Here is a 19,055-nt window from a genome sequence, read left to right as displayed (position 1 = left end):
CACCTATGCTCGCGGTAAAATAGTTTATCGGCCGGGCGTGGTGGCTCACACATGTAATCCCAGCACTTCGGGAAGCCCAGAAGGGCGGATCACCTGAGGTCAGGAGTTCGAGACCATCCTCGCTAACATGATGAAACCCTGTCTGTACTAAAAAATACAAAAATCAGCCGGGCGTGATGGCAGGTGCCTGTAATCCCAGCTGCTTGGGAGGCTGAGGCAGAAGAATCGTGGAACCTGGGAGGTGGAGGTTGCAGTGAGCTGAGATCGCGCCACTGCACTCCAGCGTGGGCTGCAGAGCGAGACTCCGTCTCAAAACAAAACACAAAACAAAATTGTTTCTCGGTCAAATCCTCCAGCGGTGTTCAGTTTTTGGGCGTGCAGTGCTTTCTGCAGAGTTGGGAAGACTCACTGGTTTCTACCCTGGCCCTTTCTGGACTGCACCAACTGACCCTGGTCAGGGCAGTGACGCGACCCGAGCGCGGGCACCGCGGTTGCAGTGCGGACTCCTGCGCGGCCCCAGTCGGGCGGTGGTGCGGCTCCCGGCGGGCAGACTGGGCCTGGCACGTAACCCGCCCCCTGCCCTGGGTCTGCAATCAGTCGTGCCCGCCACGGAGTTAGCCGAAGAACAAAAACCACTCTGTGGCAGCATCCCCGAGCCACAATAGGGCTTTGTGCGGCCCCCGCCCCCCAAGGTTACCCCGCTGGGCTGAGGGGGCTCACAGGCCGCTCCCCCCGGCCTGGGCCCGACTCCCAGCTGCGCCCCGCGTCGGACTGTCCACCGCACGGGTCGCAAGAGGGGCTGCTACGGGTGGGAGGGGGCCGGCGATCCTGGGGGGGCTCGGGTTACGAGCCCCCTCCCCACCCTGACGCCACTCCCGCCCCCGCCCAGGTGCGAAATCTCCTGCCCTCCGGCTGGGCGCGCGACTTCAAAGGCGCTTTGAAGAAATCCGAGTTCCGAAGACTTCTTTAGTGGGCTGGGGGCTGTGACGGAAGAGACCCGGGAGAGGGGGCTGGGGCAGAGGAAAGGCGGGGGGCGCCTTGGAGCTGGTCTGAGCGAGGCGGCGGCCTGGAGTGGAACCCCGGGATCCCGCCTCAACCCCGCCGGGCGGGCTCCTCCGGACCCCCCAGAGTCTGGCCCTCTCGCCTCCCGGTCTCCGCCTGTCCGGTGCCAGCTCCCGCCCGCCGCAGCCTCGCGGTCCTCCCCTCCCCAACCCTTCGGCCCCTTTCATCTTCCCTAGACTCCGCTTGGGGTTTTGCTGGTTTCTGGGAGATAAAAACCGCTTCAAATAGCGGCGGCGCGCTGCCAGGACAAACAGGGCCGGGCGGGCCATGTGCGCCTGGTTACCGGCCCCGGGTCGGGACGCCGGGCTCCAGCGGGCCCGGGAAGGGGTAGCGGGCGGAGCTCCGGGCACCCAGGCTCCGGTGACGACTCCCAAAGTAGGGGGCCCCTTTTAGAAGCGGCCTGCGCGCTCTCTCGGTTCCCGCCCAGGTCGTAGGGAGGGGCCGGCGGAGACCGCCCGCTAAGCGCTCGGAGCCCATAGGGCGTGGGTCACGGTCGCTGCGTTGCCTGGCCAGCCGCGCCCCCTGGTGAAGTTACTGGGTGAGCGCGCCGGGCCTGGACTTGGGCCTTTCTAGAACCCGCAAATGGTGAAAAGCGTTCCACAAACGTTAAATAAGCAGTATGGAGGAGGGGACAGTACTTGTGCCAGGCCAGGGCGGGGGCAGCGGGCGGAACAGCACTGTTCCTTCTCTCCAGTTCACCTTACAGGGTAAGAAGCAGGCACCTAACCGATCATTATAACCTGATGGTGAAAATCGAGGTTTCATCGAAGGATGCAAGTTGCAGGCCGGAGTGATTTTTCCTAGGGGTATCTGGGTTTGGATGGTGTTACGACTAAGGTACAAACGGAAACTATCGTGGGTCCTCAGTGCTCTCCACTAATCTGTCAGTCACCGACTTCCTCTCCCTCAAACCTGCCCACTTCCCCTTCTCAGGGAGGCTTTCCCAGCCAGGTTCCCCAAACCATCCCCAGTGTATACCTTATGTTCTTCAAGCTTTCTGTGACTTCCCAGGTGACGGTGAACTCACATAGGAAATTAAATGGGGCTATGGGAAAAGGTTAGAGCAGGGGTCGCGCCACGGCCCGTCGTGTCGGTGGCCTGTAAAGGAACCGCACAGCCGGAGACGAGCTGAGCAAGCTGAGCTCCGCCTCCTGTCAGATCAGCGGCATTAGATTCTCATAGTAGCGCGAACTCTGTTGTGAACTGCGCACGTGAAGGACCTAGGTTGCCCGCTTTTTATGAGAATCCAACTAATGCCTGATGATCTCAGGTGTAACAGTTTCATCCCCAAACCATTCCCTCCCCCGCTCCCCCTGGAAAAACTGTCTTCCACTAAACCTGGTGCCAAAAAGTTGGGGACCGCTAGGTTAGAGCCTTGCTACTTAAAATGTGGTCTGTGCAGTATCAGCTGGGGATTCTTTGGAACTATAGCCTCTGAGCGCCACCTTAGGAGATGCTCAGGTGATTCCTATGTCCCTTAACAGTTGAGAAGTACTAGATTAGAGGAGATCCACTTGCCTTCTCAGGTGAAGTGCATTTTCAGGAGACTCTGGAGCCCTTTGTTTTCTGACCTGGTAATAACTCTCTTGGGGGGAATTTTTCAGGTGAAAAAGAAGGGCAGACACGGAATCCAGAATACTAGAACTAAATGCCCCCTAGATTATTCAATGAGACTGGTAGCTCTTGGGAGTGGGGACAGCCTTCTACATCTTCAAATCACTTAACATTTGTTAATGAACTCTGACCAAGGTCACCTAGTTGATGGCACAGTTATAGCTATTAACCTCTGACATTTGTTTAGCACTTTAAAATTTATTAAATAGCTTCATTTTATTATTTTGTATGGAAAACAACCATATGAAATAATTAGGACACTGCAAATGAGAAAAGTGAGACTCAAAGAATTCAATGTTTTTTCCAAAGTCTGTAAGAGGGGCCCCCATTCTCTTTCTTTCTTTCCTTTCTTTCTCCCTCTCCCTTCCCTCCCATTTTTTTTTGTTTTGTTTTGTTTTTTGTTTTTTTTTTTTTTTGAGACGGAGTTTCGCTCTTGTTGCCCAGGTTGGATGGAGTGCAGTGGCGCGATCTCTGCTCACTGCAACCTCCGCCTTCCAGGTTCAAGGGATTCTCCTGCCTCAGCCTCCCGAGTAGCTGGGATTACAGGCATGCACCACAATGCCTGGCTGGTTTTGTATTTTTTAGTAGAGATGGGGTTTCTCCATGTTGGTCAGGCTGGTCTCGAAATCCCGACCTCAGGGGATCAGCCCACCTCAGCTTCCCAAAGTGCTGGGATTACAGGCGTGAGCCACCGCGCCCGGCTCTTTCTCTCTGGCTTGCTTGACAGGGTCTCGCTCTTTGACCCAGGCTGGAGTGCAGTGGTGCTATCTTGGATCATTGTAGTCTGGATTCTCCTATCTCAGCCTTCTGAGTAGCTGGACTAAAGACGCTTGCCACCACCACGCTGGCTAACTTTTGAATTTTTTGTAGATACAGGGTCTTGCTATTTTGCCCAAGCTGGTCTTGAACTCCTGGGCTCAAGAGATCAGCCTCGGCCTCCCAAAGTGCTGGGATTACAGGTGTGAGCTACCACACCCAGCCTTACTTTTATTCTTAAGTGAGAATAACTGGTTTGGGTGTATCTAGGTCCAATCTCTCTGTGACTCACTTTCCTCATGGTGACAGAACAGCACCCACCTTATGGGGTTGTAAAGATTATAAAAGCACTTATCGTAACAAGTGCTCAGGAAATAGTTTTGCAGCCCGGCAAGGTGGCTCAGGCCTGTAATCCCAGCAATTTGGGAGGCCAAAGCAGGCAGATCACTTGAGGTCAGGAGTTTGAGACCAGCCTGGCCAACATGGTAAAACCTCGTCTCTACTAAAAATACAAACTTAGCTGGGCGTGGTGAAGCATGCCTGTAATCCCAGCTACTCCAGAGGTTGAGGCAGGATAATCGCTTGAACCGGGGAGGCAGAGGTTGCAGTGAGCTGAGATAGCACCACTGCCTTCATCCTGGGCAATAGAGCGAGACCCTGTCTCTCAAAAAAATAAAATAAAATAAAGTTTTCCTTTTTGAGACGAAGTTTCCCTCTTGTTACCCAGGCTGGAGTGCAATGGTGCGATCTTGGCTCACTGCAACCTCCCCCTCCGGAGTTCAAGAGATTCTCCTGCCTCAGCCTCCCGATTAGCTGGGATTACAGGTGCCCGCCACCACGCCCGACTAATTTTTGTATTTTTAGTATAGATGGGGTTTTCAGCATGTTGGCCAGGCTAGTCTGCGAACTCCTTTCAGATGATCCACCCACCTCGACCTCCCAAAGTGCTGGGATTACAGGCGTGAGCCACCGCGCCTGGCAGGAAATGTTAGTTTTCCAACCGTCCCCACCTCCCTTTCCAGGACGCCTAACCGTGTGGGTGCAGCACTGTTCCTCCTCTCTGAGGCTTTTCCCTCAGCTTTCCAGCCAGCTGCCTGTGACATAGCCTGTATTTTCCTCTGGGTGATCCACAGGCCTGGGAGGATTAATTTGGTACTTCCCTGAATGTGGCTTATTTCGGGCTTTCTAAGCGCTAAGATAGTGAGTGGGAGAAGGTGTTCGGGAATTCGGAGCTGGGAAAAACAGTAGTCTCATGGAAAACAACAGAAAAAAACCCCACTCCAGCCTGGTAACCAACGGTTGGCCGGGGGACGTGTCCGCGCTGCTCCCCCTCCGGCCGCCAGGGGGCGCAGGAAGAAGCTTTGGAGGTCTGTCCCGGGACCGCGTACTCGTCCTTCTTTCCCGTTAGTCTTTTCTTCACTTCCGTTGAGTTCCGCCTCGCCGTTTGTCCCTTGCGGTACCCGTCCGCATACGAATCTAGCCCGGGAACCGAGTTGCGGGAGTGCGGTCTGTGCCGTTCCGGCCAGGAGTTTGCCGACTGCAGACGTCCTGCGAACCGGCAAGATGTGCTCTCTGGGGTTGTTCCCTCCTCCACCGCCTCGGGGTCAAGTCACCCTATATGAGCACAATAACGAGCTGGTGACGGGCAGTAGCTATGAGAGCCCGCCCCCCGACTTCCGGGGCCAGGTGGCCAGGGCGAGGAGGGAGGGGACCTACAGGCATGGGGGCGGAGTCGGGGACTACTGGGGAAAGGAGGCAGTGTGACAGGGGCAGGGTCACAGAGTCTGGCGGAGTGGAAACAGCTTGGCCCCGGCAGGAGGCTAGAAGGGCTGGAATCTGTTTTAGGACTGGGATTGGAGTATAACGGGGGAACGGTTAAGGAGCTGTGGAGGAGGCCTAGAGGGAATGGAGAGAATGAGGGAGAATCTAGGGAGTGTGAGGATGCGGGAGAACTATCTAAAAGTTGGGGACAGTATCTGGGGAGGATCAGAAGGATACAACATGGAACTTTTTTCCATGGTGTTCCTGGGAAGGACAAGGAAGGGAAACTGACATTTATTGAGCGTTTGCTATGTAAGAAAGAGGCTGAGTCAGGTGTTTTCTAAAAATGTCATATGGTTTCATAATCACAGCAACCCTATGAAATATTATTCTAGTTGCACAGATACGGGAGCTAAGACTTGTTTCCCATTCTCACAAGTGTTAGCTTTGTGGAAATGGGAAACAGACCTCTGGAATCTCTTATACTTAGCCCAGCGGTGGGTTGGAGATGGCACGGAATTAAAGATTTGGGAAGAGACTGAATCACCGTCACACTCCTCACTTTTGTGCTATAGTGGATCAATCTTCCTGTCCTACAACTGACAAAGGATCCCCTAAAGACCCCTGGAAGGCTGGACCATGGCACAAGAACTGCCTTCATCCATCACCGGGAGCAAGTGTGGAAGAGATGCATCAACATTTGGTGAGGCATGGCAAAGGGTTTCCTGGGTCACAGTCTGCAGATCCTGGAAAATGAGTCAACACCCCTTTACCTTGGGGTGTTCTTCAAAAGACTTTTATTCAGGCTGTCTCCACGAGAGCTGTATATCCTAAATCATATGAAATTTTTAGTCCTTATTATAGAACTCAAATGCTCAATAAATGTCAGGTTCCCTTCCTTGCCCTTCCCAGGAACACTATGGAAAAAGTACTTCCATTTCATCTCTAGTAACTTGCCTTGCTTTCTGGCTTGATTAGGTGAACCTGCTCCCTGCCCCCACCTCATGGCATTACCACTTCTGAGCTTTTACCTGAAGCTCAGCAAGATCAGATATAAGGTTGCACTGAATAATCTCCTACATAGGTCATCCACTTTGCACTTGTAGGAGTGGAGCTACACTACCTGGTTTCATTTTCTTTTTTTTTTTTGAGATGGAGTTTCACTCTTGTTGCCCAGGCTGGAGTGCAGTGGCGTGCTCAGCTCACTGCAACTTCCACCTCCCAGGTTCAAGCGATTCTTCTGCCTCAGTCTCCCGAGTAGCTAGGATTACAGGCATGTGCCACCACGCCCAGCTAATTTTGTATTTTTAGTAGAGACAGGGTTTCTCCATGTTGGTCAGGCTGGTCTTGAACTTCCGACCTCAGATGATGTGCCCGCCTTGGCCTCCCAAAGTGCTGGGATTACAGGCGTGAGCCACCGCGCCCGGCTCATTTTCTTTTTCTTTTTTTTTTTTTTTTTTTTTTTGAGACGGAGTCTTGCTGTGTTGCCAGGCTGGAGTGCAGAGGTGCGATCTCGGCTCACTGCAGCCTCCGCCTCTCTGGTTCAAGCAGTTCCCCTGCCTCAGCCTCCCGAGTAGCTGGTACTATAGGCATGTGCCACCACGCCCAGCTAACTTTTTGTATTTTAGTAGAGATGAGATTTCACCATGTTGGCCAGGGTGGTCTGGCCTCCTGACCTCAGGCCTGCCTTGGCCTCCCAAAGTGCTGAGATTACAGCTACTGCACCTGGACCTATTAATGGCACATATTAATTCCTTTAAGGGTTATTTATGCCAGGCACAGTGACTCACGCCTATAATCCCAGCGCTTTGGTAGGCTGAGGCCAGCAGATTGCTTGAGCTTAGTAGTTTGAGACTAGCCTGGGGAACATGGCGAAACCATGTTCTTTTCTCTACAAGAAAAGTACAAAAATTAGCTGGGTATGGTGGCATGCACCTTTATTCCCAGCTACTTGGGAGGCTTATGTATAGGAGGATCACTTGAGCCTGGGAGGTGGAGGTTGTAGTGAGCCAAGATTGTGCCAGTGCAGTGGCACTGAGTGAGACCTTGTCTCAAAAAAAAAAAAAGGGTTACTTAATATTTTTATTAATACCATTACCATTTGTAGGATAAATTCCTAGAAATTAAGTTGCTGGCTCAGAGGGTATGTTCATCTGTAATTTTGTGAGCTGTTCCAAATAGCCCTCTGTCAAAATGGTACATGTATATGGTCCCACCAGCAGTGTATGGGAGTGCCTGTTTTCCAACACATGTGCTGTCAAGCTTTGATCTTTGGTACTTCAGTACAGTTTAATGGGCATGCCTGTGTGTGTGAAGTTGAATATCAGTTTGTTGAAAAGCCATTCATTCCCAGGCTCCTTGTCTCCTACTTCTGTGGCTGCTGCTTCTCAGGGTTTTTGGTGGCTCCTCTTCCTGATGTCCCTTAAATGTTGGTGTTCTTGGGGCTAGATTTCCAGTTGATGCATCAGACCTGGTGTTCACGTGTTTGCCAAATTATCCTGCTTGAATATTTCGCAGACTTCATATATTCAGCATGCTCAAATCCAGTCTCTTTATTTCTCTCTCCAAATCTGCTTCTCTGGATGGTTCACTTTAAGGAATGATCATATTACTCATTCAGGAAAAAGTGGTTTGAGTATAGGTTCTGGGGTAGATAGATGGTTGAATCCTGACTGCTACTTTCTACTTAGATTACCTTGTTCATATTAATTAGCCTCTTCACACCTTTGTTCTCTCATCTAAAAATGCAGTGATAGTCTGGGCGCGGAAGCTCATGCCTGTAATCCCAGCACTTTGGGAGGCCAAGGCGGGTGTATCACTTGAGGTCAGGAGTTCGAGACCAGCCTGGCCAATGTGGTGAAACTCCGTGTGTAATCCTAATTACTCAGGAGGCTGAGGTGCAAGAATTGCTTGCACCCAGGAGGTAGAGGTTGCAGTGAGCCGAGTTCACACCACTGCACTCCAGCCTGGGTGACAGAGTGAGACTCCGTCTTAACACACACACACACACACACACACACACGCACACACACACACACACACACTGAAACCCCATCTCTACAAAAAATTTAAAAATTAGCTGGGCATGATGGTGTGCACCCGTAGTCTCAGCTCCTCGGGAGGCCGAGGCAAGAATACCTGAGCTCAGGAGATTGAGGCTGCAGCGAGCCGTGATGGTGATATTGCACTCCAGCCTGGGTCACAGAGCAAGACCCTGTCTCAATAAAATAAAAATAAATGCAGTGATAACAATACCTATCTTGTAGGATTGTCATAATGGCTTGATTAGTTAATGTGAGGCACCTAGTCCAGAGCTGGCACATTGTAAGCATATTAGCTGATGTAATTATTACCTAGGTGTTTCTGTTGTATTGCTCTTTCCTTTACTAATGTCTGATTAGTCTTCACATCTTGTTTATGCTAATTCCTAAATCTCTCAAATCTGTCTCTTTTTCTTCATCCCCACCAGTTCAGGCCACTTTCACCTTTTTCCTAGGTTCCTGAAGTAGATTCTTTTTTTTTTTTTGAGACAGAGTCTCACTTTGTCACCCAGGCTGGAGTGCAGTGGCGTGATCTCAGCTCGCTGCAACCTCCGCCTCCTGGGTTCAAGCAATTCTTCTGCCTCAGCCTCTGAGTAGCTGGGACTACAGGTGCACACCACCACGCCTGGTTAATTTTTGTTTTGTTTTATTTTTTTGGTTTTTTTTTTTTGAGACGGAGTCTCGCTCTGTTGCCCAGGCTGGAGTGCAGTGGCACGATCTCGGCTCACTGCAAGCTTCGCCTCCCGAGTTCACTCCATTCTCGTGCCTCAGCCTCCCGAGTAGCTGGGACTACAGGCGCCCACCACCACACCTGGCTAATTTTTTGTATTTTTAGTAGAGATGGGGTTTCACCGTGTTAGCCAGGATGGTCTTGATCTCTTGACCTTGTGATCCGCCCGCCTCAGCCTCCCAAAGTGCTGGGATTACAGGTGTGAGCCACCGCACCTGGCCAATTTTTGTATTTTTAATAGAGATGAGGTTTCACCATCTTGACCAGGCTGGTCTCGAACTCCTGACCTCGTGATCCACCTGCCTTGGCCTCCCAGCGTGCTGGGATTACAGGTGTGAGCCACCGCACCCGGCCCTGAAGTAGATTCTTAACTGATTTATTTTTCTCTATTATTATTATTATTTTTTGAGACAGCATCTTGCTCTGTTGCCCAGTGTGGAGTGCAGTGGCGCAAACATGGAACACGGCTCACTGCATTGTCAGCCCCCAGGGCTCAAGTGATGCTCCTTCCTCAGCCTCCCAAGTAGCTGGGACTACAGGCATGTGCCACCACACCTGCCTAAGTTTTGTATTTTTTTTTGTAGAGACAGCATTTCCCTATGTTGCCTAGGCTGGTCTCAAGCTCTTGAGCTCAGGCGATCCACCTGCCTTGGCCTCCCAAAGTGCTAGGGTTGAGCCACTGCACCTGGACTTTTTCTATTTTTTCTCTTCTTTTTTTTTTTTTTTTTTTTTGTCTGAGATGGAGTCTTGCTCTGTTGCCCAGGCTGGAGTGTGGTGGCACGATGTTGGCTCACTGCAATCGCCACCTCCCGGGTTCAGGCGATTCTCCTGCCTCAGCCTATGGAGTAGCTGGGATTATAGGCATGGACCACCACACCTGGCTAATTTTCATATTTTTCAACATGTTTCACCATGTTGGCCAGGATGGTCTTGATCTCCTGACCTCGTGATCCGCCCACCTTGGCCTCCCAAAGTGCTGTGATTACAGGTGTGAGCCACCGCGCCTGGCCTTTTCTATTCTTTTTTTTTTTTCTTCTTTTTTGAGGCAGAGTCTCACTCTGTCGCCCAGGCTGGAGTGCAGTGGCACAATCTCGGCTTACTGCAGCCTCCGCTTCCTGGGTTCAAGTGATTCTCCTGCCCTGCCTCAGCCTCCTGAGTAGCTGGGACTACAGGTACGCACCACCACACCTGGCTAATTTCTGCATTTTTAGTAGAGACGGGGTTTTACCATGTTGGCCAGGATGGTCTCAGTTTCCTGACCTCGTGATCCACCCACCTCAGCCTCCCAAAGTGCTGGGATTATAGGCGTGAGCCACCACAGCCAGCCTGGCCTTTTCTATTCTTATCACTCTCTAATCTGCAGCCAGACTGCTCTTTCTAAAATGCTGCTGTGTGATCTGTTTATTCTTCTCCTTAGAACCCTTCCATGGCTTTCCATTCATTGTCTTAGAGCAAGTCCCAACTCCTTAACCTGCTCACAAAGCCCCAAAAGTCCTCTGAGCCTTGGTTGTCTCATCCGTAAATGGGTAGAATCTCGTTCAGATTTGTGAGATATGTAAATGAAAGGACAGCCCGTAGAGTGCCTGGTACATAGTTGGCACTCATTAAATGTGAGTGCCCATATTTTTAATACATGTATATTGAATGAATGAAACTGGTAGAGAGGGACAGAGGGGATCAGAGTAAGCTGACCCACATTTTCCTCCCTTATCAGGCGTGATGTGGGCCTTTTTGGGGTGCTAAATGAAATTGCAAACTCAGAAGAAGAGGGTAAGTATTTTTCCCTCCAGCCTTCCCTAGTTTTGTGGTTATCTCCTCTCCATATTCTTGAACTCACCCCCGACACCTGTTGGCTCAGCCTCTTTTAGCCCTATTTTTCCTGTCCTCTCCTCTACCTACCCAAATAACCCAGAGTGGGTGTCCAGAGTGGGTGTCCAGAGTGTGGTGTTGAGAGCACTTACTGGGCAGAAGGACCTGGGGAGTGCCTGTCCTTCCTTGTCTTTCACCTAGAAGGTACCTGGTAAGAGGCCTGTGAATGGTTTAATCAGAGCTGCTTCCTCAACCCTACAGTGTTTGAGTGGGTGAAGACGGCATCCGGCTGGGCCCTGGCACTCTGTCGATGGGCCTCTTCCCTCCATGGGTCCCTGTTCCCCCATCTGTCTGTAAGTTTGGCTTCCTCCCCAGCCCTCTGCATTTGCTGTGTCCCCATCCTACTCTGCCCTCATTCCTATCCTTGCAGGTCAGGGTTGGGTGTGATGACTTCAGAGGGTAGGAGTGGTCCAGCTCCCCTGTTGGAATATTGAGGAGATGGACTCCTTTTGCCCCAGTGTGTCCTGTGTCTATCTTGTTCTTACAGCTCAGGAGCGAAGATCTGATCGCTGAATTTGCCCAAGTCACAAATTGGTGAGTGCACAAGCCCTGGAGCTTTGTGGAAAGGAAGTCCTGAACCTCAAAACTCCCTTTGGGGAGAAGGCAAAGACTCCTACTCCTTTTCTGATTGCTCACCATATTCTCATTCCTCCTGTTCCCCCAAAAAAGAATACAAGAAAAAGTAGGAAAAAACCATGTCCTTACTGGAAATGAATGTGAGCTTCTGGGCTAGGGTAGGGATAGGTGCAGGAACTCTTCATGTTAACCCCTTCCTTAGGTCCAGCTGCTGCTTGCGTGTCTTTGCATGGCACCCCCACACCAACAAGTTTGCAGTGGCCCTGCTAGATGACTCAGTCCGTGTGTATAATGCCAGCAGGTGTGTGTGGGGACACCAGGTGGGCTCTGACTTGTCAATATCACCTTCCCTTGCCAGCCTTGGTTCCGGGGAGTCCTGTAGTTCTTGAACCTGATTCATGGGGCTCCTTCCAGAACTGGGGTCAGGGAAGCTCCATAACTGGATGCGTGCTTCTTCTAGACCTAACCTTTATCCCCTCCTGTCCTATGGTGCCCCTGGCCCCTGGATGGATCATCCTTCTTCTCTGTGGCTTTCCCTCCTTAACTGCACTCTGGTCCCTGGAGCCTTAGTGTTCCTGCCTTGACTCAGTTTCCTGCCCCTTCACCCTAGCACCATAGTCCCCTCCCTGAAGCACCGGCTGCAGCGAAATGTGGCGTCTCTGGCCTGGAAGCCCCTTAGTGCCTCTGTCTTGGCTGTGGCCTGCCAGAGCTGCATTCTTATCTGGACCCTGGACCCTACCTCCTTGTCTACCCGGTAAGTCCTAGTAGCCTGCCTTACCTTGGCCTGAGAGTTGTGCAATGCTAGGCATGGTGGGTGGTGAGGACGTCTGAAAGGAGAAGTTCTTTGTCCTCACAGCACTTCCCAGGGCTATGGGAAAAGCAGAAGTAAGATCAAGGTGGGTTGCTGAGAATACTCTAATCTGGAGAAAGAGAACTAGGGGCTTTTTGGATTGTGGGGACAATGTGTCTGTGGGTTACGGGGTGGAAAGACTCTTTCAGAGGACTATACACTTCCTTTACACTTAAAGGAAGTGTAAAGAAAATTAGTACTAATAAGATCAGAAACTAATAAAATTAGAAAAAGAATACCTGTGAAAACTAACTAAAAATAAAACCAGAAACTGGTTCTTTAAATTATGACTAAGCTGGGTGCGGTGGCTCATGCCTGTAATTCCAACACTTTGGGATGTGGAGGCGGTTGGATCACCTGAGGTCAGGAGTTCGAGACCAGCCTGGCCAACATAGCAAAACCTTGTCTCTACTAAAAATATGAAAATTAGCTGGGCATGGTGGTACACACCTGTAGTCCCAGCTACTCGGGAAGCTGAGGCAGGAGAATCGCTTGAATCTGGGAGGCGGAGGTTGCAGTGAGCCAAGATCATGCCACTGTACTCCAGCCTGGGCAACAGAGCGAGACTCTGTCTCAAAAAAAAAAAAAAATTATGAATAAAGGCTGGGAACAGTGGCTCACACCTGTAATCCCAGCATTTTGGGAGGCCAAGGCGTGAGGATCACCTGAGGTCAGGAGTTTGAGACCAGCCTGGCCAACATGGTAAAACCCGTCTCTGCTAAAAATACAAAAATTAGGCCAGGCGCAGTGGCTCATGCCTGTAATCTCAGCACTTTGGGAGACCAAGGTGGGTGGATTTCTTGAGGCCAGGAGTTCGAAACCAGCCTGGCCAACATGGCGAAACCCCATCTCTACTAAAAATACAAAAAAATTAGCTGGACGTGGTGGTGCGTGCCTGTGATCCCAGCTACTTGGGAGGCTGAGACACAAGAATCACTTGAACCCGGGAAGCGGAGGTTGCAGTGAGTTGACATCATGCCACTACAGCTGTACTCTGGTCTGGGCAACAGAGTGAGACCCTGTCTCAAAAAAAAAAAAAAAAAAAAGGCCAGGCGCGGTGGCTCACGCCTGTAATCCCAGCACTTTGGGAGGCTGAGGCGGGTGGATCATGAGGTCAGGAGATAGAGACCATCCTGGCTAACACGGTGAAACCCCATCTTTACTAAAAATACAAAAAATCAGCTGGGCGTGGTGGTGCTCGCCTGTAGTCTCAGCTACTTGGCAGGCTGAGGCAGGAGAGTCACTTGAACCTGGGAGGCGGAGGTTGCAGTGAACTGAGATCACGCCACTGTACTCCAGCCTGGGCAACAAAGCAAGACTCTGTCTCAAAAAAAAAAAATATATATATATATACACACACACACACATATATGTTTTATATATATACACATATATATACACGTATATATATATATACGTGTATGTATACGTGTATATACGTATATATATGAATAAAGAAGAAAACCTCTTGGTTAGCCTAATTAAGGAGAAAAAGAAAACCAAAGTATACTATTTTCAGAAGTGGAAAGATATAGATACGGGAGAAAATAGAAGAATTATAAAAGAATATTGTGGACTTGTTTAGGCCAACAGATTTGAAAATCTGAAGGAAATGTTTGATTTCTTTTTTTTTTTTGAGAAGGAGTTTCACTCCTGTTGCCCAGGCTGGAGTGCAGTGGCACGATCTCGACTCACTGCAACCTCAGCCTCCCGGGTTCAAGTGATTCTTCTGCCTCAGCCTCCCAAGTAGCTGGGACTACAGGCACGCACTAGCTAATTTTTGTATTTTTAGTAGAGATAGGGTTTCACCATATTGGCCAGGCTGGTCTTGAACTCCTGACCTTGTGATCCGCCCGCCTTGGCTTCCCAAAGTGCTGGGATTATAGAAGTGAGCCACCGTGCCCTGTGGAAATGTTTGATTTTCTAGCAAAATATAAGTTACCAAAGTGGATTGTAGAAGAAAATAATGAGATTTTTTTTTTTTGAGATGGAGTTCCACTTTTGTTGCCCAGGCTGGATGGAGTGCAGTGGTGCAATCTCGGCTCACTGCAACCTCTGCCTCCCGGGTTCAAGTGATTCTCCTCTTGACTTCGTGATCCGCCCGCCTCAGCATCCCAGAGTGCTGGGATTACAGGCGTGAGCCACCATGCCCGGCCTGTCCTCCCTTTTTTTTGTTGCAGGATCTTCCTGATTTATTTTTATAAAGCTAATGTAACCCTGATACCTAAACCTTGACAATAGGTACTATAAGAAAAAAACACGTGATCACAGATTTTTTTTGGGGGGGGATGGAATCTCACTCTGTCGCCCAGGCTGGAGTGCAGTGGCGCCATCTCAGCTCACTGCAACAACCTCTGCCTCCTGGGTTCAAGCGATTCTCCTGCCTCAGCCTCCCAAGTAGCTGGGACTACAGGTGCGTGCCACCACACCGGCTAATTTTTTATTTTTAGTAGAGACAGGGGTTTCACCATATTGGCCAGGCTGGTCTCAAACTCTTGACCTCAGGTGATCCGCCTGCCTCGGCCTCCCGAAGTGCTGAGATTACAGGCATGAGCCGCTGCAACTGGCCTGTTTTTTGGTTTTTTTAGAGATGGGGTTTCATTATGTTGCCCAGGCTGGAATACAGTGGCTATTCACAGACTCAATCATTGCACACTACAGCCTTGAACACCTGGGCTCAAGTGAGCCCCTTGCCAAGTAGCTGGGACTATAGGTGCGTACACCACGCCTGGAAGGTTGTTGGTTTTTTTTGTTTCTACTAAAAATACAAAAATTAGCTGGGTGTGGTGGCGTGCGCCTATAATCCCAGCTACTCAGGAGGCTGAGGCAGGAGAATTCACTTGAACCCAGGAGGTGGACGTTTCAGTGAGCTGAGATAATGCCATTGTACTCTAGCCTGGGTGACAAGAGCGGAACTCGATTTAAAAAAATTTTTTTAAATAAATGAACAAAAAACAAGGCCAGGCGTGATGGCTCATGCGTGTAATTCCAGCACTTTCGGAGGCTGAGGCAGATGGATCGCTTGAGCCTAGGAGTTTGAGACTAGCTTGGTCAACATAGATGCTGTCTATACAAAAAATAAAAATAAAAAAACTAGCTGGGCGTGGGGTGTACGCCTGTAGTCCTAGCTACTTTAGAGGCTGAGGCAGGAGCCTCAGGACTTTGAGGCTGCAGTGTGCTATGACTGTGTCACTGCACTCCATCCTGGAGTGTGAACCACCATGCCTGGCCCAGGAAATATTTTTTACAGCATTATGTATAATAAAAAATTACAAACAAGTCAAATGTCCATTTGTAGAGGCATGACTCAATAAATTATAGTTCATCTATTGAGTGGTATACAATGGAGCCACTGAAAAGAATGAGATGAATCTGAACCCACCTGCAAAGGCAGCTGTGATTTATCATAAAGTTCAAGAGAATTAAATTGTACATCCATGACTAAGACTTCACTGGAGCTGAAGGTGGTTATAGTTAGGTGGAAAGAGAGGTGGCATTAATTCAGGTAGTAGCCTTCGTCTGTCAGGCCAGGCACATGGCTCTGGAAATACACAGCTGCAGACACATGGCAGGTGCCCTCAGGTAGTTCCCTGCTGGTGATGGAGGCCGAGCCACATGCTGCATCTTTTTTTTTTTTTTTTTTGAGACGGAGTCTCGCTCTGTCGCCAGGCTGGAGTGCAGTGGTGCAATCTCGGCTCACTGCAACCTCCGCCTCCCGGGTTCAAGCAATTCTCCTGCCTCAGCCTCCCAAGTAGCTGGGACTACAGGCGAACACCACCACGCCCAGCTAATTTTTTTGTACTTTTAGTAGAGACGGGGTTTCACCATGTTGGCCAGAATGGTCTCGATCTCTTGACCTCGTGATCCGCCCACCTCGGCCTCCCAAAGTGCTGGGATTACAGGCGTGAGCCACTGCGCCCAGCCTGCAGCATCTTTATGATAAGGAGCAAACGCGGGAGCTGCAGAGTTGGGAGGTACTTTGATAAGGCAAGGCAGGAGGGCTGTTTGGGAGCACAGGATGTGTTCTGAGGAGTGTTAGATAACTGGAGAGAAAAGGTTGGAACCTTGAAGTAATGTCATAGATTATTAATCCTGGATAGATGGATGGCCAGGCTGGATGGCCTGTGGGCAGAGAGCTGTGTTCTGGGGTAGGGCCTGATATCGCCCCAGGGGCAGTACCTTCTAGGTTACTGGTTAGGTTTTGCCTCATGGCCTATCTCGTGAAAGCACTCTTTCACCCTGGCCTGAGACCTTGCAGATTACCTCTTCTCTGTTGACCTGCTCGTGGTGACTTGGTCGTTTTTCCCCTTCGCTGTTTTTTTCTTTTAACTTTCACAATCCTTATTCCTTTTTCACAACCTGGATTTGAGCCCAGAGTGGGCCATCAGGATAGGAGGTTTTAGCAGGAGGCAAAGAAATAGAATTTTGGGGATGGCTTCTTGTCATCTTCTGACTCCACATCCTCTGTGTTCCCCTCCAGACCCTCTTCTGGCTGTGCCCAAGTGCTGTCTCACCCTGGGCATACACCTGTTACCAGCTTGGCCTGGGCCCCCAGTGGGGGGCGGCTGCTCTCAGCTTCACCCGTGGATGCTGCTATCCGGGTGAGTGGGTCCCTGCCCCTCATGCACATTTCAGTCCTGGCAAAAGTGTTCCTCACTCGGTTGTGGAAACATCTTGGGGGAAGGAGGAGGGACCTTGGTCCATTCAGTCTTAAACTTACCCAGAGAGGAGCTTTGCCATCAGACTCGTGAGGTTTAAAATTCCGCTGTCTGTAATTGTCAGCATGAACCCGTGCCTCATGTTTCACAGTCCCTCTCCCGCTTCCTCTCGTTTCTGGCTCTTTGTACATTAGAGAGGCCAGCCCACTGTGAGATGATGGGGTGCTTGAGTTTTCCCTTATCTCCTGCCCCACTCTCCTAGGTATGGGATGTCTCAACAGAGACCTGTGTCCCCCTTCCCTGGTTCCGAGGAGGTGGGGTGACCAACCTGCTCTGGTCCCCAGACGGCAGCAAAATCCTGGCTACCACTCCTTCAGCTGTCTTTCGGTGAGTGGGACAAGGATGGAGGGAGGGCAAGGACCTAGAGAAAGGCACTTAGCTCCTGGAAGCTCTGTCAAGGGAGGTAGGTCCAACTTTTAGAACTTAGAGGTCCTGAGCTGTAATTTGCTTTTCTCTGGCTCAGAGTCTGGGAGGCCCAGATGTGGACTTGTGAGAGGTGGCCTACTCTATCAGGGCGCTGTCAGGTAAGAGGGGACTCTGATTCACAGACACTGGGGAGGAGATGATTCCAATGGGCCCCTGATGCTCCCAAACCTGGCCACCTCTACTTTCCCTCCTGCATTCTACTATAGACATACCTTCTCCTGCCTTTTGCTCCCTGACCCCAGACTGGCTGCTGGAGCCCAGATGGCAGCCGACTGCTGTTCACTGTATTGGGAGAGCCACTGATTTACTCCCTGTCTTTTCCAGAACGTTGTGGTGAGTTAGGGCAACACTTCAGTATTTGGGGTGGTCAGAGGGAGGCAGCAACCTTTGGTAAGATGCAGCTCTGAGGGATAAAGGGAAATATAGAAGCTTAGGAGATTTCGAGGTGTTGATGCCTTTGGTGAGCTGGCAGGGGACCAGTGAGAGGCCTGTTTCTTGCAAGAACCTCTCTGCTCTTATTTGTCCACAGGTGAGGGAAAGGGGTGCGTTGGAGGTGCAAAGTCAGCAACGATTGTGGCAGATCTGTCTGAGACAACAATACAGACACCAGATGGTGAGGAGAGGTGAGCTGAGTGGTTGAGGGAGTGGCAGTGAAAAGCAGGTGGGAGGGACCACACTGAAACTCTCCTAACCTGTCCTTACCCACAGGCTTGGGGGAGAGGCTCACTCCATGGTCTGGGACCCCAGTGGGGAACGTCTGGCTGTGCTTATGAAAGGTGAGAGGCAAGGATGAAGGGCTCAGCCCACAGCCATCTTCCCAGTTAATCTAATGAGGCCGTGCCCTGGCCTGGAGTTCTCCTCTGCCCATGTCCTGGGACTCTGCCTTCAGAGTTCCTCCCCTATCCCTGGATCCATTTCTTACAGGAAAGCCAAGGGTACAGGATGGTAAACCAGTCATCCTCCTTTTTCGCACTCGAAACAGCCCTGTGTTTGAGCTCCTTCCCTGGTAAGTGCCATGTGGGCCCTTAGGTCTGGACTTCTCACCAGCCTTCCTGCACAAACAAACCCACATCCCACTACATTCAGCTCCCTTCTTGCCTCCGGTTGCCTGCTCACCTTTTCTTCTAGTGGCATTATCCAGGGGGAGCCAGGAGCCCAGCCCCAGCTCATCACTTTCCATCCTTCCTTCAACAAAGGGGCCCTGCTCAGTGTGGTGAGTGCGCCAGGCTGCTGGGGCTTCCAGGAGTTGGATGGAGAAGCTGAGGGCCTTGGCTGCTGTATGGCTCTGCCAGGTGGCCCTTCTTTGGGCCCAGACTCTGATCCTTTTCTTTCCCTTCTCTGCAGGGCTGGTCCACAGGCCGAATTGCCCACATCCCGCTGTACTTTGTCAATGCCCAGTTTCCACGTTTTAGCCCAGTGCTTGGGCGGGCCCAGGAACCCCCTGCTGGGGGTGGAGGCTCTATTCATGACCTGCCCCTCTTTACTGAGACATCCCCAACCTCTGCCCCTTGGGACCCTCTCCCAGGGCCACCACCTGTTCTGCCCCACTCCCCACATTCCCACCTCTAAGAATAAATAAGTTTTCCTTTTGTTTTCCACTCAGTTACCAGTCTGTCTTTTCCAGGGAGTTGCAGTGGGGTACAGTAGGGGAA

The 19,055-nt window shown here is 50.8% G+C and overlaps 1 protein-coding gene across 2 annotated transcripts, besides 5 other annotated features; it reads left to right on the top strand.

The window, feature by feature from the left end:
• Positions 1,126-1,625: a silencer, noted in NCBI's record as "silent region_4504". NCBI's record gives its function as "represses an Ori minimal core promoter by ATAC-STARR-seq in GM12878 lymphoblastoid cells {active_cell/tissue: GM12878}" and the evidence as "EXISTENCE:reporter gene assay evidence [ECO:0000049][PMID:35858748]".
• Positions 1,939-2,672: an enhancer, noted in NCBI's record as "H3K4me1 hESC enhancer chr12:53717573-53718306 (GRCh37/hg19 assembly coordinates)". NCBI's record gives its function as "activates a minimal SCP1, AML or CMV promoter by ChIP-STARR-seq in naive H9 embryonic stem cells {active_cell/tissue: H9 hESC(naive)}" and the evidence as "EXISTENCE:reporter gene assay evidence [ECO:0000049][PMID:30033119]".
• Positions 4,685-4,734: an enhancer, noted in NCBI's record as "active region_6416". NCBI's record gives its function as "activates an Ori minimal core promoter by ATAC-STARR-seq in GM12878 lymphoblastoid cells {active_cell/tissue: GM12878}" and the evidence as "EXISTENCE:reporter gene assay evidence [ECO:0000049][PMID:35858748]".
• Positions 4,815-5,004: an enhancer, noted in NCBI's record as "active region_6415". NCBI's record gives its function as "activates an Ori minimal core promoter by ATAC-STARR-seq in GM12878 lymphoblastoid cells {active_cell/tissue: GM12878}" and the evidence as "EXISTENCE:reporter gene assay evidence [ECO:0000049][PMID:35858748]".
• Positions 4,851-19,001, top strand: AAAS (aladin WD repeat nucleoporin). Of its 2 annotated transcripts, NM_015665.6 has the most exons (16): positions 4,851-5,118; positions 5,769-5,896; positions 10,679-10,734; positions 11,035-11,126; positions 11,321-11,367; positions 11,612-11,710; positions 12,020-12,163; positions 16,740-16,860; positions 17,180-17,304; positions 17,441-17,501; positions 17,646-17,736; positions 17,933-18,026; positions 18,112-18,179; positions 18,328-18,409; positions 18,532-18,616; positions 18,748-19,001. In NM_015665.6, exons 1-16 carry the CDS (start codon positions 4,996-4,998, stop codon positions 18,970-18,972), a joined length of 1,641 nt encoding a protein of 546 aa, NP_056480.1. In that variant the 5' UTR covers positions 4,851-4,995; the 3' UTR covers positions 18,973-19,001. The 2 variants fall into 2 exon arrangements, with proteins under 2 accessions (NP_056480.1, NP_001166937.1); NM_001173466.2 differs by lacking the exon at positions 11,612-11,710.
• Positions 6,223-6,312: an enhancer, noted in NCBI's record as "active region_6414". NCBI's record gives its function as "activates an Ori minimal core promoter by ATAC-STARR-seq in GM12878 lymphoblastoid cells {active_cell/tissue: GM12878}" and the evidence as "EXISTENCE:reporter gene assay evidence [ECO:0000049][PMID:35858748]".

This window comes from Homo sapiens, chromosome 12, assembly GCF_000001405.40.
Source record: "Homo sapiens chromosome 12, GRCh38.p14 Primary Assembly".
Taxonomy (NCBI): Eukaryota; Metazoa; Chordata; class Mammalia; order Primates; family Hominidae; genus Homo; species Homo sapiens.
The sequence above is the reverse complement of the archived record's forward strand: the minus strand, read 5'-3'. Positions and strand labels throughout refer to the sequence as shown.